We start from the raw sequence: 12,374 nt of genomic DNA, 5'->3' as shown, positions 1-12,374 counted from the left end.
AGAAACCATTCCATGTGTATGTGACAATGGACCAGGGCGCGGCCCTTGGGGTGCTCATTCAAACCTGGGGAGGGAAGAGGGAACCTGTTGCTTTTGCCTCCAAGCTTCTTGATTCTGTCTCTCAGGGGTGGCCCGAATGTGTACAAGCAGTGCTGCCACAGCCCTGCTGCTAGGAGAGTGGAAAGCTAACCTTTGGTGGGGCCCTAACAGTAAGCAACCCACACTGGGTCAGGAATATATTAAGTCAAAAGCCAGGAGATAGTTAACAGATTCTCAGACTCTAAAATATGAAGCCATAGTAGTTAAAAAAATTATTTGCTCATAACAACAAATATTTGCCTAAATCCAGCTGGTTTCCTATGGAAAGGAGAGGAGAAAAAGAGAGACATCAGACCAGAACTGCTTAGATATCATAGAATACCAAAGAAAAGTTAGACCAAACCTTAGGGAAGCTCCACTACATGATGGGATAAGGCTATTTGTGGATAGGTCGTCCCATGTGATAGATGGCAAGAGACATAATGGCCATGCTGTCATTTATGGGAATAAACACTTCTTGTGTGAGAAAGGTAGATTACCTAATAGCTGGTCAGCCCAAACCTGTGAATTATATGGTCTTAACCAGGCCCTAAAGCTCCTTAAAGCCCAAGAAGACACTGTATATACTGATTCTAAATATGCCTGTGGGGTGGTACACACTTTTGGAAAAATCTGGACAGAGTGGGGCCTAATAAATAGCAGCGGAAAGGAATTGGTACATGGGGAACTGGTCAAACAGGTTTTAGAAAGCCTCCTGCTTCCAGCAGAGGTAACCATAGCTCATGTAAATGGTCATCAAAAAGGGAACACTATAGAACCTACAGGAAACAAGCTTGCAGATGGCGCTGCTGAGCAAGCCTCCCTGGACGAGGAAATTAGAAGACAAGCCTGATCCCAGACGTCCCTAAGGTAGTATTAAGGCCCTAGTTTACCAGAGAGAAGAAGGAAGAATTAGACAGGATAGGGGTCAAACTGAAGATGGCAAATGGGTACTTCTTGATGGGAGAGAAATAAGTAAACTCCATGAGAAAACTAATATCTATATTATACAAAGGGAGTCTTCGGGGACCCCAGGCTCTGTGTGATGCAATACTTAGGAATTATGGGTGTGTATAGGGATTTATACCCTCACTAAATAAGTATGTGGAAGTTGTGTAACTTGTCAAAAGACAAACAAAAAGGTGATTATAAAACAGGCCATGGGAGAAAGACCTCCAGGACTAAGATTATTTGAAAGCATTCAAGCAGATTTCACAGAAATGCCCAAAGTAGAAAGACTAAAGAATTTACTGATAATCGTAAATCACCTTTCTGGCTGGGTGGAAGCCTTTCCCCTTCCATAGCCACCACTGGGAATGTGGTCAAAATAATATTAAAACAGGTTGTACCTAGATTTGGCCTCATGGAAAATATTAATCCTGACAATGGGAGCCACTTTACCTCAAGGGTGTTAAGGGGAATTATGGAAGGTTTCAAATTAAATGGGATTATCTCACCCCTTGGCATCCCCCTTCCTCTGGAAAGGTAGAAAGAATGAATCAAACTCTCCAAAAGTATATCACCAAACTAATCTTTAAAATGCCTTGAACCAAATGTCTCCCAGTAGCACTCCTTAGGATTAGAACAGCCCCAAGAAAAGACTTGGGATTATCCCTCTACAAGTTATTATATGAGATCCTATATTTGGGCACAGCTAGACATCTCCCTACTATGGAAACCAAGGATCAATTCTTAAGACATTATATACTGGCCATATACTCCACCCTGTCATCCCTTAGGTTAAAAGGACTTCTGACTCAAACTTCACCTCTTGAGTTCACGGCTCACTACTTCCAGCCTGGCAACTTGGTGCTGAGCCAGACTTGGAAAGAAGACAAGCTCCACCTAAGCTGGAAAGGTCCCTATCAAGTGCTCCCGACCACTGAGCTGGCTGTGCAAACAGCTAAACTGGGGTGAACTCACTATACTCAAGTCAAGGGAGTGGTTTAAAAAAAAATGGAAGGGAGAAAAAAAGACGAATGTAAAGTGCACAGGTCACCTAAGGAACCCTTCAAGTTAACCCAGAAAAATCTAACAACAAAACATGGGCTGGCTCCATTTTGGAAGTTAATATGGCTGGGATGGGCTACTATACAAAGAGCAGGTCAAAATGGAAACGGGCAGGGGACTCCCCCCTACTCAATCAGGTTGCTTATTAATGTAACCAAGACGGTAGCACCCCAAACTATAAGATTTAATGCCTGCCAGGTTTTACCTTGTGGGAATGTGGAAAATCAGAAACAGCTCTCTCAAGTGGATACATATCTTTTCCCTGAACCAAATACAGGTTATAGTAGAATATCACCCTGCCCCAGCTGGGATACTATATGGTGGACTACCCAATTGCAGGGTTGGACAGTAAACATGGGGTGGGTAACTCCAGCCTGGAGACCCTTAAAGAATAAATTACATCTGTCCAAGGGCTCCCCACCAAGTAACTGCCAGAATTTAAAACGCAATCCTATACTCATCACCATTGAGAATCCAGCTCTTCTAAACCAAGAACCAAAAGTAGCATCTCGGTTATATGGGTTGGTGCAAACACCACAGGGAAAAACCCCCCTAGGGCAATTTGTTCTCAAACTAATAAAAAACTCAACCCCCCCATTTGCCTGGGACTACTCCAACCCCAAACCATAATAAACGCTTTAGTTCACCAAATAATGACCGTAAAAGGGTAAAAATAATTAAGGTAAAGGATTTAAAGCAAACCTTAGAGTATGGGAATATGAATGCCTGGGTCAAATTTTCAGTACAAGCCCTCAACAAGAGTAAGTGTTATGCATGTGCTGTGGAACAACTTCAGGCACAGGTGGTTCTGTTTCCTCTAGGATGGAATACCAATCCTAAAGAAATGCACTGTGTTGGCTCTATACCGGGACAAGGATGCATGGGGAAATAAGACTTATAAAAGTCTGTCATTGGCCAGGTACGGTGGCTCATGCCTGTATTCCCAGGACTTTGGGAGGCCAAGGTGAGTGTATCACCTGAGGTCAGGAGTTCGAGACCAGCCTGGCCAACATGGCGAAACCCTGTCTCTACTAAAAATACAAAAAATTAGACAGGCACAGTGGTGCCTGTAATCCCAGCTACCCAGGAGGCTGAGGTAGGAGAATTGCTTGAACTGGGGAGGCAGAGGTTGCAGTGAGCTGAGATTGCGCCATTGCACTCCAGCCTGGGCAATAAGAGCAAAACTCCGTCTCAAAAAAAAAAAAAAGTCTGTCATTGCTCTTTCCCACATTGCGGAGGTCAGATCCCAGAGCAATTCCCTCATTCTCCATAGGGAATATGAACTACTCCTCTTGCCTCTCTAGGCAGGGGGCAGAGTTCAATAAGCCCATAGGAGAACTCTCAACTTGTATCCACTTCCTAAACATCACGAGTGAGTCAGGCAATGGCAATTACCCAGCTTTCCATGTGCCCCAGGCTAATGTCTGGTGGTATTGTGGGAAAAGGAACCTCTGTAACCTGTTACCTTCCAGTTGGATCAGGACTTGTGCTTTAGTCCAATTGCCTTCACTCTGGCATTTCCTAAGACACCCGAAAATACATATGGCCACCAAAATTGGAGATATTTGACAAATTCTTTTAATCCCAATATATATGTTAACTCCGTAGGTGTCCCTAGGGGGATGCCTAATAAATTTAAGGCCCAAAACCAAAGAGCTCTGGGTTTAAGTTAGCACTCTTTTGGTGGTCAACTATTAATACAAACATGGATTAAATTAACTATATCTATTATATTCAACAAAAATTCATCAGTTATACTAAGAACGCCCTCAAAGGGGTGGCTAGCCAGTTAAATGCCACCAGCCAAATAGCCTGAGAAAACAGGCTTGCACTAGACATGACACTAGCAGAAAAAGGGGGTGTATGTGTTATGCTGGGTGGGAAGTGTTGTCATTCCCAAGAATACCGCCCCAGATGGCACCATCACAAAAGCTTTACAAGAACAACCCTAGCCAACAAACTAGCAAAAAATGCTGAAATTAATAACCCATTAATGGGTTGGGTAGAAGGTTGCTTTAAAAAATGAAAAGGTATGATAGGTTCAATCCTTACATCTCTCATAATTGTGGCAGGAGTCTTAACAGCAATGGGATGTCGTATTCCTCCTGTGTAAGGGGACTAGCACAAAAATAGCTATTAATAAACAAATGTGCATAACTTACTAGCAAAATAATCTGCTACTATTAGAGACCAAATTAAAGTTGCTCTCCTATAAGGAAAAAAGTAAACAACTTTTAGAGTGATTCAAGAACCAAAAGGGTTTAGATAAAAATAAAACCAAAGAAAGTAAATAGAAAAGAGGAGGGAACTTGTGAGAAAACATTTTATACGGTCAATTTTCAAGGCATGATAAATCTAAGTACTGGCAGCCAGCCTGAGGATATGACAAACCTCATGGCTCATGCATGTAGAAAGTCATGATAAAGGAACAGAATGTAGACGAGGAGTCAGCCCATAAAAGGGAAGAAAGTTTCGTTATTGGGAAATCAAAAATTAAGTGAGGAAGGGGGCCAGGGTATAACATTATAAGGGGCATATGTCCAGGCAAACTTAGGCAATGTCCAGGAATATTGTAACCCCATAGTACTCAACCACTGAGGAACTGGGAGAGGGGCTTACATGCTAGGAAGTAAATTACCTGCTGTAACTGCCCCGGGTGTGCCTGCCTACTAAACACCCGATCTTGCAAGACTGCCATTAAAAGTCTTGCTTCTGCTGTACTGCGTGTCTCCGAGTCCATCCTTTGGGTTTGGAAGGATAAATGTGTTTCTCACATTATTCCATGACAAAGCCAACTTCTTTTAAAACTTAATGTCTGTGTCATGAGCTGTGGATAAAACACTACGAAATTCTGAGCCACATGCTCTGGAAAGCAATTCGTAACTCAAACAGCTAAAGCATCTCTAGAAATATCGTTTAAAACAAATAGACCTGGGATGTACTTATTAATTACAATAAATTTTATTAAATATATACAAAGTAAGTCAATTAATTTGAGGTTTTGTCTTATTTTAGTTGTCAGTTTGTGTAGTTTTTGCATTTGTAAGAAAAATAAACTTTCTCTATGAACCAAAGTAAGGTTCACCAAGGACATATACACCTATAGATAAAAGAGCAAGTGTGCCTTTGCTGTGGATCTCTTTACTTACCTTCTGTTTCTCTTTTCAAACTGTGGGGTTTCTCTTTATGACAGTTCTTAAACCATTCAATACAATTACTGAGGAAACACTTTTAAAATACAGAAGCCCAGGCCCCTCTAGATTTTTTAAATTGGAATTTCCAAGGATGGGGCCCAGATATTGACTGAGAAGAACCAAATGACATTTTCTTTATGTCTTGGTAAGCATTCACAATTATTGTTTCTTTTGAAATGTGGGCCAACGTGATACATAAAGAAATAACCATATGACATTTTATATACTTTGGCTAAGTATAAATATATAATACACTCTGGTATGGAAACACATCATAATGTTGAGGAGCAGGCATACCTTTTTCAGAATATTAAGCAGATCCTGGTACTGAGAGAAAGAGTAGAGAAATTTGAAAAAGGCTTGTATCTTCTGTTGCCAGACACAGATAGTAGAGCAAGAATTTCACAGTGTAGCCCTGCCCCTCCAAGTTCCAGTTGATAGTGGTCTAGATTCTCATATTGAACCAAAGTCATCAGATTCAGTTCAATTAAAATCTGAGCACCTGCTGCATACCAAAAATTGTTCCTGGTACTGAAGTTAAAAGATTGTCTTCCTAGCACCTCCCTGAAATCAGCTAAAGCCAATTAAATTCAACAGGAGCGAAGGGAAACCCAGGCAGGGTACAGGAGTTAGGGGTGAGAGACTTTGGTTAGTCCAGCAGGAAAATACCTCCCTTCAAAAAGACAGAAGAAGAGACTCAAAAAGTAGAAGAGGTGTGATCATGAGAGACTGGTAAATAACTAGCAATAAATATGTCAGCATTTTTCCTACCTTAAATATCGGCCTTGGCAGGACTACACTGATTACAGAGGTCTGATTTAGAAATTGGCCTTGTAGACAGATATCTAACCCAGTGGCTCCCAAAGCTCACTGTACATTAGAATCACCTGGGAATCTTGAACAACTGCTGCTACTTGGCTCCCATTCAGGACGTTCTAAATTAACTGGTATGGGTGTGACCTGGGGCATTGTGTTACAAGTTCCCCCAGGTGATCCTAATGTTCAGCGAAGTTTGAGAGCCAGGTTCTAGTTCCATGGAACCTGGTTATTTGGCAGTTGTTCTTCAAAGCTAGTCCACAAACAAAGAGCATCAGCAACAGGTTAGAAATGCAGAACCTCGGGCTCCACTCTAGACTGAATGAACCAACCTCTTTCACAAAATCCCCAGGCAGTTCTTATGCACATTAAAGTGTCAGTAACATTGGTTGAAGACTATTTCTCTATTTTAAGAGGAGAAAAAGAAAGTTTAAGAACCATTTCTAACACTTTCATCACCTTTTCCCATTATCTGCCATGAGTGAATCTTAGTCTTTAACTGTTAGTTTCTAACAAGTATAAAAAGGAACTGATAATACTCATTTTCAAAGTGTAAATTTGTCTCTACTCTGAATGTGAAGCTTAAAACCTGCTGCTAAGGTGCAAGAACCTATTCAAGTTGCTTTTTATTTGCTTCTATTGTGTTGGAAGGAAGAAAGGGAGAGAATGATCCCTGCAATTGCCACCTGTTGAATATTAGCATCAGTAAGCATGAGCTCCTTTCAGGAACAGTCTAGATGTTATGACTCCATCCACCTGGCTAGAGACTCCTGGCTTCTACAAGCTTTTTTTTTTTTTTTTTTTTTTAACCACCCCCATCCCCTTCCCTTCCCCTCCTAGCTCTTCTTTTTTTAATTATCGGAGTTGTCCTAAATAATTTCAAATGTCATGGAGATAAGTGAAAGCTTTAAATATTAAAGACAGACCAGTACCTCATCAAGGAAAGCAGATACATGTCCAAGAGACAACGCAGGTAACTCTCCAAATAAAACCACTTGAGAAAAGTCATTTACTCCAATGCTTTCAGTAATCTTCTTGGAAATAAAAACAAGTTTATGGTTTGCATCTCTTGGAATCTAAAACAAGAGCAAGATAATTAGTTCAAGTAGTTTTCTTGTTAACAAGCAGGATTTACTATATCCAACTTGTAGCTGTATTGCTAGCAGAAGAAACAAAACCTGGCATCTTGCCTGCCCTATAAACAAGGTCCTTCTACGGCTCTTCCCTAGTATGCAGCGAGTATACAGTTTTCTTTGTTCTTTTATAATGCTAATTTCACAGCATTACTGGTGTGGAAATATCACCTTTTAAAGGCATGCCAATTATACCAGTTCATTATACACCAAAAAAAAAATCTTATAACTAAAAACAAATAAGGAGCACGTAGGCATGTAGAAATGTTTCAATCCTAAAGGGTTATTTTTTATACTCTTCTCTGGTTTGGAAATAAGCCAAACTGAGATAAAGACAAGCCCAAGAGGTTAATTTGTATTTCTATCAAAGAATAGAACCGTATAACCAAAACATGCTAACATTTCCACAACTACTGAGTCATTCCATTGAACATTATAATAACTATTTAACTTAGGTAATACTAGAGTTGTGTTCTATCGCCTTGTCTACTGACAAACTTATTTTTTTTAAAGTTACAATTAGGAGAGTCCTAAAACAAAAGAATTCAAAATTCACAATACCATAAGGCAGCCTTCCTATTACTCTTTCTTCTCTGAGATCCTATTTCCCAACTATTACAATGACCACACCTAGTGATAAAACGACATAACATGTTAAACTGAGCATTGCGCTACTTAAAAATTGTGAATCTTGCTCCAAACTCATCATACTTGAAAAATACTAAATACAAGTGCTGTACGTTAGGTGATACGTTAACCTTTTAGTGGACAAATCATCGAAATTCAAAAAGAAAAGGAAGAAAAAGAAGAAAGGAGGGAACTGTTCCCTCTAAATGTTCAGTAAACACCCATGTGTGCGGAGATTGCAGGGGCCTTCCTTTTTAAGGACTTAATGTTTTTGCCTGGGGTGAAGTGTTGTTGGCACGTAATCAAAATACGTGACGAGTTACATGCGCTCTGCCAAACACCCCATTTTTTAAAGGATGTGACTCCAGAGTGACCCAAGAGCAACTGAAACGCAAGTTTTTTGGCACAGAAAGCCCACCTGGCGCCTAACACCCAAGCAGCTAAAGAAAGCGCTGGTGTTCTTGGGTTATCCTGGTCGAACAGGCTCAACGCGGGATTCTCGGTCAGATACAAACTGCTGACTTAGGAAACTAACCTGCAGCTGCTGAACTGCAGAGTGGGTGCACGTGGGGAGGAGTCCTGCGGGCCTCAGGATGGGGACTTCAAGCCAAGTTTGTTAAAGTGCCCGAGTGAGCGCCCCGCGGGAATCCAAAGGGGAGCGACTGGGCTGTCTCCCCTGGGTAGTTTTGTTGGATGGGCAGGTCCCCTTGCCCGTCGCCTCTTACCTCCTGGGAAGCCGCAAGGCGCCCCGAGGCGGCGAAGCTAAACACAAGGCAAGCCGGGCTGGTGCTTTCCAGAAACTCCCCAAGAACCTGCCGGTTGTCCTCGCTTTCCAAATACTGGCTCCATTTCTCCTCCGTGAACCCCAGCATCATCGCCAGGCGGCCGCCGAGGAAGCGCACCCGCGCGTCTTGGGCGAAACTCCGCGCTCTCCTGGCCGCCGCCTCCTCCTCGTTCTCCTCCTCCTCCTCGAGCTCCACAGCGCCCACTGCCTCCAGGCCGGCCCCCGAGGTTAGGCGAAGGGTCGGGGCTTCTCTGAAGTCTCGCGCCTCCCGGGCTGCCACCTGGGCTGCCATTGGGCAACCGTCCGAGGGAACGCGAGGCCGGCTGGCTCCTCACCCGAGACTCTGGGCCCCCCGAAGTGAGCGAGGACACCTCCGCAGGCGCCCACCCTCCTCCGCGGTCGCCGCGAGCGCAGACCCTAGTCTCCCACCTGCTGCTACTTAGCAGCCGCGCCACTGCGCACAGCTGTAGCCTCGCAGGCCGAAGCGAAGGCCTGGGACAAGCAGCGCGTCCCGTTTCCCGGGGGACGGTGTCCCCGCCCCAGCCCGCTGGGGGCGGAGTGAGCGCACCGCGCCACCGCCCAGTATACGCCAAGGCCAAGGCCGAGGGGAGAGGCCCTCGGGCTCTAGGTCCCGAACACGGCCGAGAAGCCGCGTGTCCGGGGTGGGTCTGAGCCCCCAGTGCGCTCGCTCCACTGCCCTCCGGCTCCTTCGCCTACTGGACACTTGGTGGAGATCCCAGCATTGGTTAAGTGCTCTGGATGAAGCAATGCTCTCTTGTGCCAAGGTCCGTGCTAATCTCTTACCTTGACTAGTTGACATAATCCGTAGAAAGCCAAGTCTCTGACTGGTCAGTCTTTGTTTTATGGGCAAGGAACTAAGTTACAAAAATAAGTAACAGAGAAGTTTCGGGGCCCAAGTTGAAGGCTGTTATTCACCTTTCCCAAGGTGTCCAAATATTACCAGAAGAGAGCCAGTCCTGCAATTCAACTTTCCTAGTTGTGGGAATCCAAGATCTAAGTATTCGAAGTCCTCCTGATTGCCATCCTCAACCTGAAACTTACTGGAACTTCAGTACACCCAGTAAGAGAACGCACAGTGCCCTTTCGTGATCTCCAAAATGTTCCGAAAATCTATAGATTTATCATTTAATTCAAGAGTAAAAAGGTCAAAGAGAAAAAGCTTCAGATTAAAAACAGTTTCATGATACTGAAATAGGATTTCACTGCGGTCCATTAGTGGCTTTCGTTGAGACTCTTATGGAAATTCTAATTATTAAAGCAACCAGAATTTTGAGGAGGAGTCCTCAACTAAACTTTTAAGTCTCCTTTGTTAATTGTTTATTTCAAACTAAAGTCTTCAATCCCCACCCCTTCCATGGGGGCTACTGAAGGACTGTTGCCCACAATAATCCATTTAATACCTGAATGTTGACAGACATTTCCAGAAGATGAGGCTTCAACAATTTTTTTCTTTGCAGGATATTAACTGCCCCTGAAAACCATCGACAAGTTTCCAGTTATGTGATCAGAATCTTGAAATAACACAGGGCCTTGGAAAACTTTGATAATGACTTCTAACCTGTCAAGGCTGCTTTATATTGTCCATAATAATCTTTGGGGCTCCCAGTTGCTGGTATACAAGGCTGGCAATCACCAGTTCCTTCTCTCCCCTCTTATATTCCAGCTTCACATCCCTGTAACCTAGAAAACCGGGAATTCTGTAAATAATAGTTGAATTAAATTGAAAGTGAATAACCACTTTCAAATCTAGCAGGAAAATTTTTTAAATGATGCTAACTTTAAAGTGCAATTTCCAAAAAGTTAACTATGTAACTCGAAATATAAGATGAAGATATGTCAAAGATTGATTTAACTCATAAATGAGGAAAGCAACAAAATGATGTAAGTTCCAAGGACAGTTCGAGAAAGAAATTTAGCAGCATTGGAGGAAGACAGGATGAGTCAGCTTGCTAGGTTCAAAACAACACTCACTAATGTCATACAGGGCAAAATAATCCTTTGTTTTTTAAAAAATAATTTGTTTTTCCAAAATAAATTACATCTGTATTGAACAAAAATCTGTAAATAAAAACGTAACTTCAGAGTTTGAGACTTCGATCAGTAGTAGTTAATGAGTCCAAAAAAGATACTTTTCCCTAAATAATTAATAATCCTTTCATTGGCCGGTGAAGCAGTGTTTCAATGTGACAGTGAATGAACATGGCTTTACCTTGTTCCCAAGTTTTATGTATTTTTTCTCAATAATAATAGCTAACATTGATCAAGTACCAATTATGTGCCATGTGCTGTGCTGAGTTCATTCATTTGTCTAACAAATCTTTACTGAATGCCTACTAAGTGCCAAGCACTGTTCTAGGTGCTGGGAAATATAACAGAAAACAAAACAGATTAAGTTTCTACCCTCATATTGGAGATACAGGCTAGATTTCTACTGAATAGAGTGGAGCTATACCAACTGAATTTGCATTCCATTTCTATTTTCTAGGTGCCTGAGTTTCCTCACCAGAAATAGGAAAAAAAAAATGGTAGATGAGACTATTTTTTAGCAAATATCTCTCCCCCAACCCCACCTTCATGAAAAGAGTATGCTTATACCTTTTTGTGCTATTAAAGTTGTGGCTGGCCATGTGACTTGCTTTGGTCCATAGGATATTGGCAGACATAACAAACAGAGGCATCGCTTCTTTTGGCTAAGATCAAGTGTAGTAGCAAACAGATGCTTGGAATGTCTTTGCATGGTGAGGCTTGCCTTCTTGTGCCTCTGCCACTGTCTTGAGAAGAACATCCCTAGTTAGCTTGCTAATGCAGGGAACCAGCCTGGACCCGACTTTTGTAGCTCAGAGGCAAGTCCAGCGAAGGCTAGTCTTGATCAATCTACTCTCAGTCAGCCCACAGATGCATGAAAATAATGAATGATTATTGGTTTTAAGCTACATAGTTGTGGTGAGGTTTGTTATGTAGTGATAGTATGGTAATAGTAAATGATACACCACATCATAGAGTTGTTGGGAGAAATAATTCAGCTTAAATATGTTAAAAGCACAAACAGGCCAACGCCTGGCACATTTATTATTAGTTGTGGAGGGGGAAACATGAGAAACTAGGCAAGCAAAGATATAATATGTTTATTATGTCAGATGTGACAGGAAATTAAATTTTGGGACTCTAAACTCGTTTAGCCAATGGGAAAAGTCAAGCTGGGAACTGGGTCATGCAAATCTGCCTCTCCCTTTTCGTTCCTAAATAAGATGGCTACAAGATGAAAGGCTACATGCCTCCCCCATATTTTGCCCACAGGGAAATTATGGGTGAGCTGTTAAAACTTCACCATAGCAATGCAAATTGATAGCTTGTCTTTCCAGGTGCAATCACCCACCAGACACAAATGCATATCTGATTGTTCCCCTACCCCATTTTGTTATCTTATGTAAAATGCGATTCCTCACATTCTTCCTCTGCCCCCTTTTGTTTATGTGAAAACCTGTGTGCTTCTCAATATCCCGCCCTTTCCCCTTTAAATTTGGAGCCCTCAAATTTATCTTCGGAGAAAGGCATAGACTTGTCTCCCAGAGTGTCCTTAACTTTGGCAAACAAATCTCCTAAAATGATTGAGACTTGTCATTTTCCTCGATTGACACAGATGATCAATTCTAAGAAGAAAAGCAACGGAGGGTAAAAGGTTGGGTATGGAGAGCATGTTAATTACCATTG

At 42.3% G+C, this 12,374-nt stretch overlaps 1 protein-coding gene across 1 annotated transcript in view, besides 3 other annotated features; it reads right to left on the bottom strand.

Moving 5' to 3' along the window:
• The window catches only part of DNAH11 (dynein axonemal heavy chain 11), a 358,801-nt gene extending 349,660 nt beyond the window's left edge, over nt 1-9,141 (bottom strand). Inside the window, exons 1-2 of the mRNA NM_001277115.2 lie at nt 8,584-9,141; nt 7,031-7,174 (exon numbers count right to left, since the gene is read on the bottom strand). Coding sequence (NP_001264044.1) covers nt 7,031-7,174; nt 8,584-8,934 — 495 coding nt within the window. The 5' untranslated portion in view covers nt 8,935-9,141. The remainder of the gene's footprint in view (nt 1-7,030; nt 7,175-8,583) is intronic.
• Nucleotides 6,019-6,985: an enhancer, noted in NCBI's record as "NANOG hESC enhancer chr7:21584813-21585779 (GRCh37/hg19 assembly coordinates)". NCBI's record gives its function as "activates a minimal SCP1, AML or CMV promoter by ChIP-STARR-seq in primed H9 embryonic stem cells {active_cell/tissue: H9 hESC(primed)}" and the evidence as "EXISTENCE:reporter gene assay evidence [ECO:0000049][PMID:30033119]".
• Nucleotides 9,220-9,269: a silencer, noted in NCBI's record as "silent region_17997". NCBI's record gives its function as "represses an Ori minimal core promoter by ATAC-STARR-seq in GM12878 lymphoblastoid cells {active_cell/tissue: GM12878}" and the evidence as "EXISTENCE:reporter gene assay evidence [ECO:0000049][PMID:35858748]".
• Nucleotides 9,318-9,819: an enhancer, noted in NCBI's record as "H3K4me1 hESC enhancer chr7:21581979-21582480 (GRCh37/hg19 assembly coordinates)". NCBI's record gives its function as "activates a minimal SCP1, AML or CMV promoter by ChIP-STARR-seq in naive H9 embryonic stem cells {active_cell/tissue: H9 hESC(naive)}" and the evidence as "EXISTENCE:reporter gene assay evidence [ECO:0000049][PMID:30033119]".

This window comes from Homo sapiens, chromosome 7, assembly GCF_000001405.40.
Source record: "Homo sapiens chromosome 7, GRCh38.p14 Primary Assembly".
Classification (NCBI taxonomy): Eukaryota; Metazoa; Chordata; class Mammalia; order Primates; family Hominidae; genus Homo; species Homo sapiens.
The sequence above is the reverse complement of the archived record's forward strand: the minus strand, read 5'-3'. Positions and strand labels throughout refer to the sequence as shown.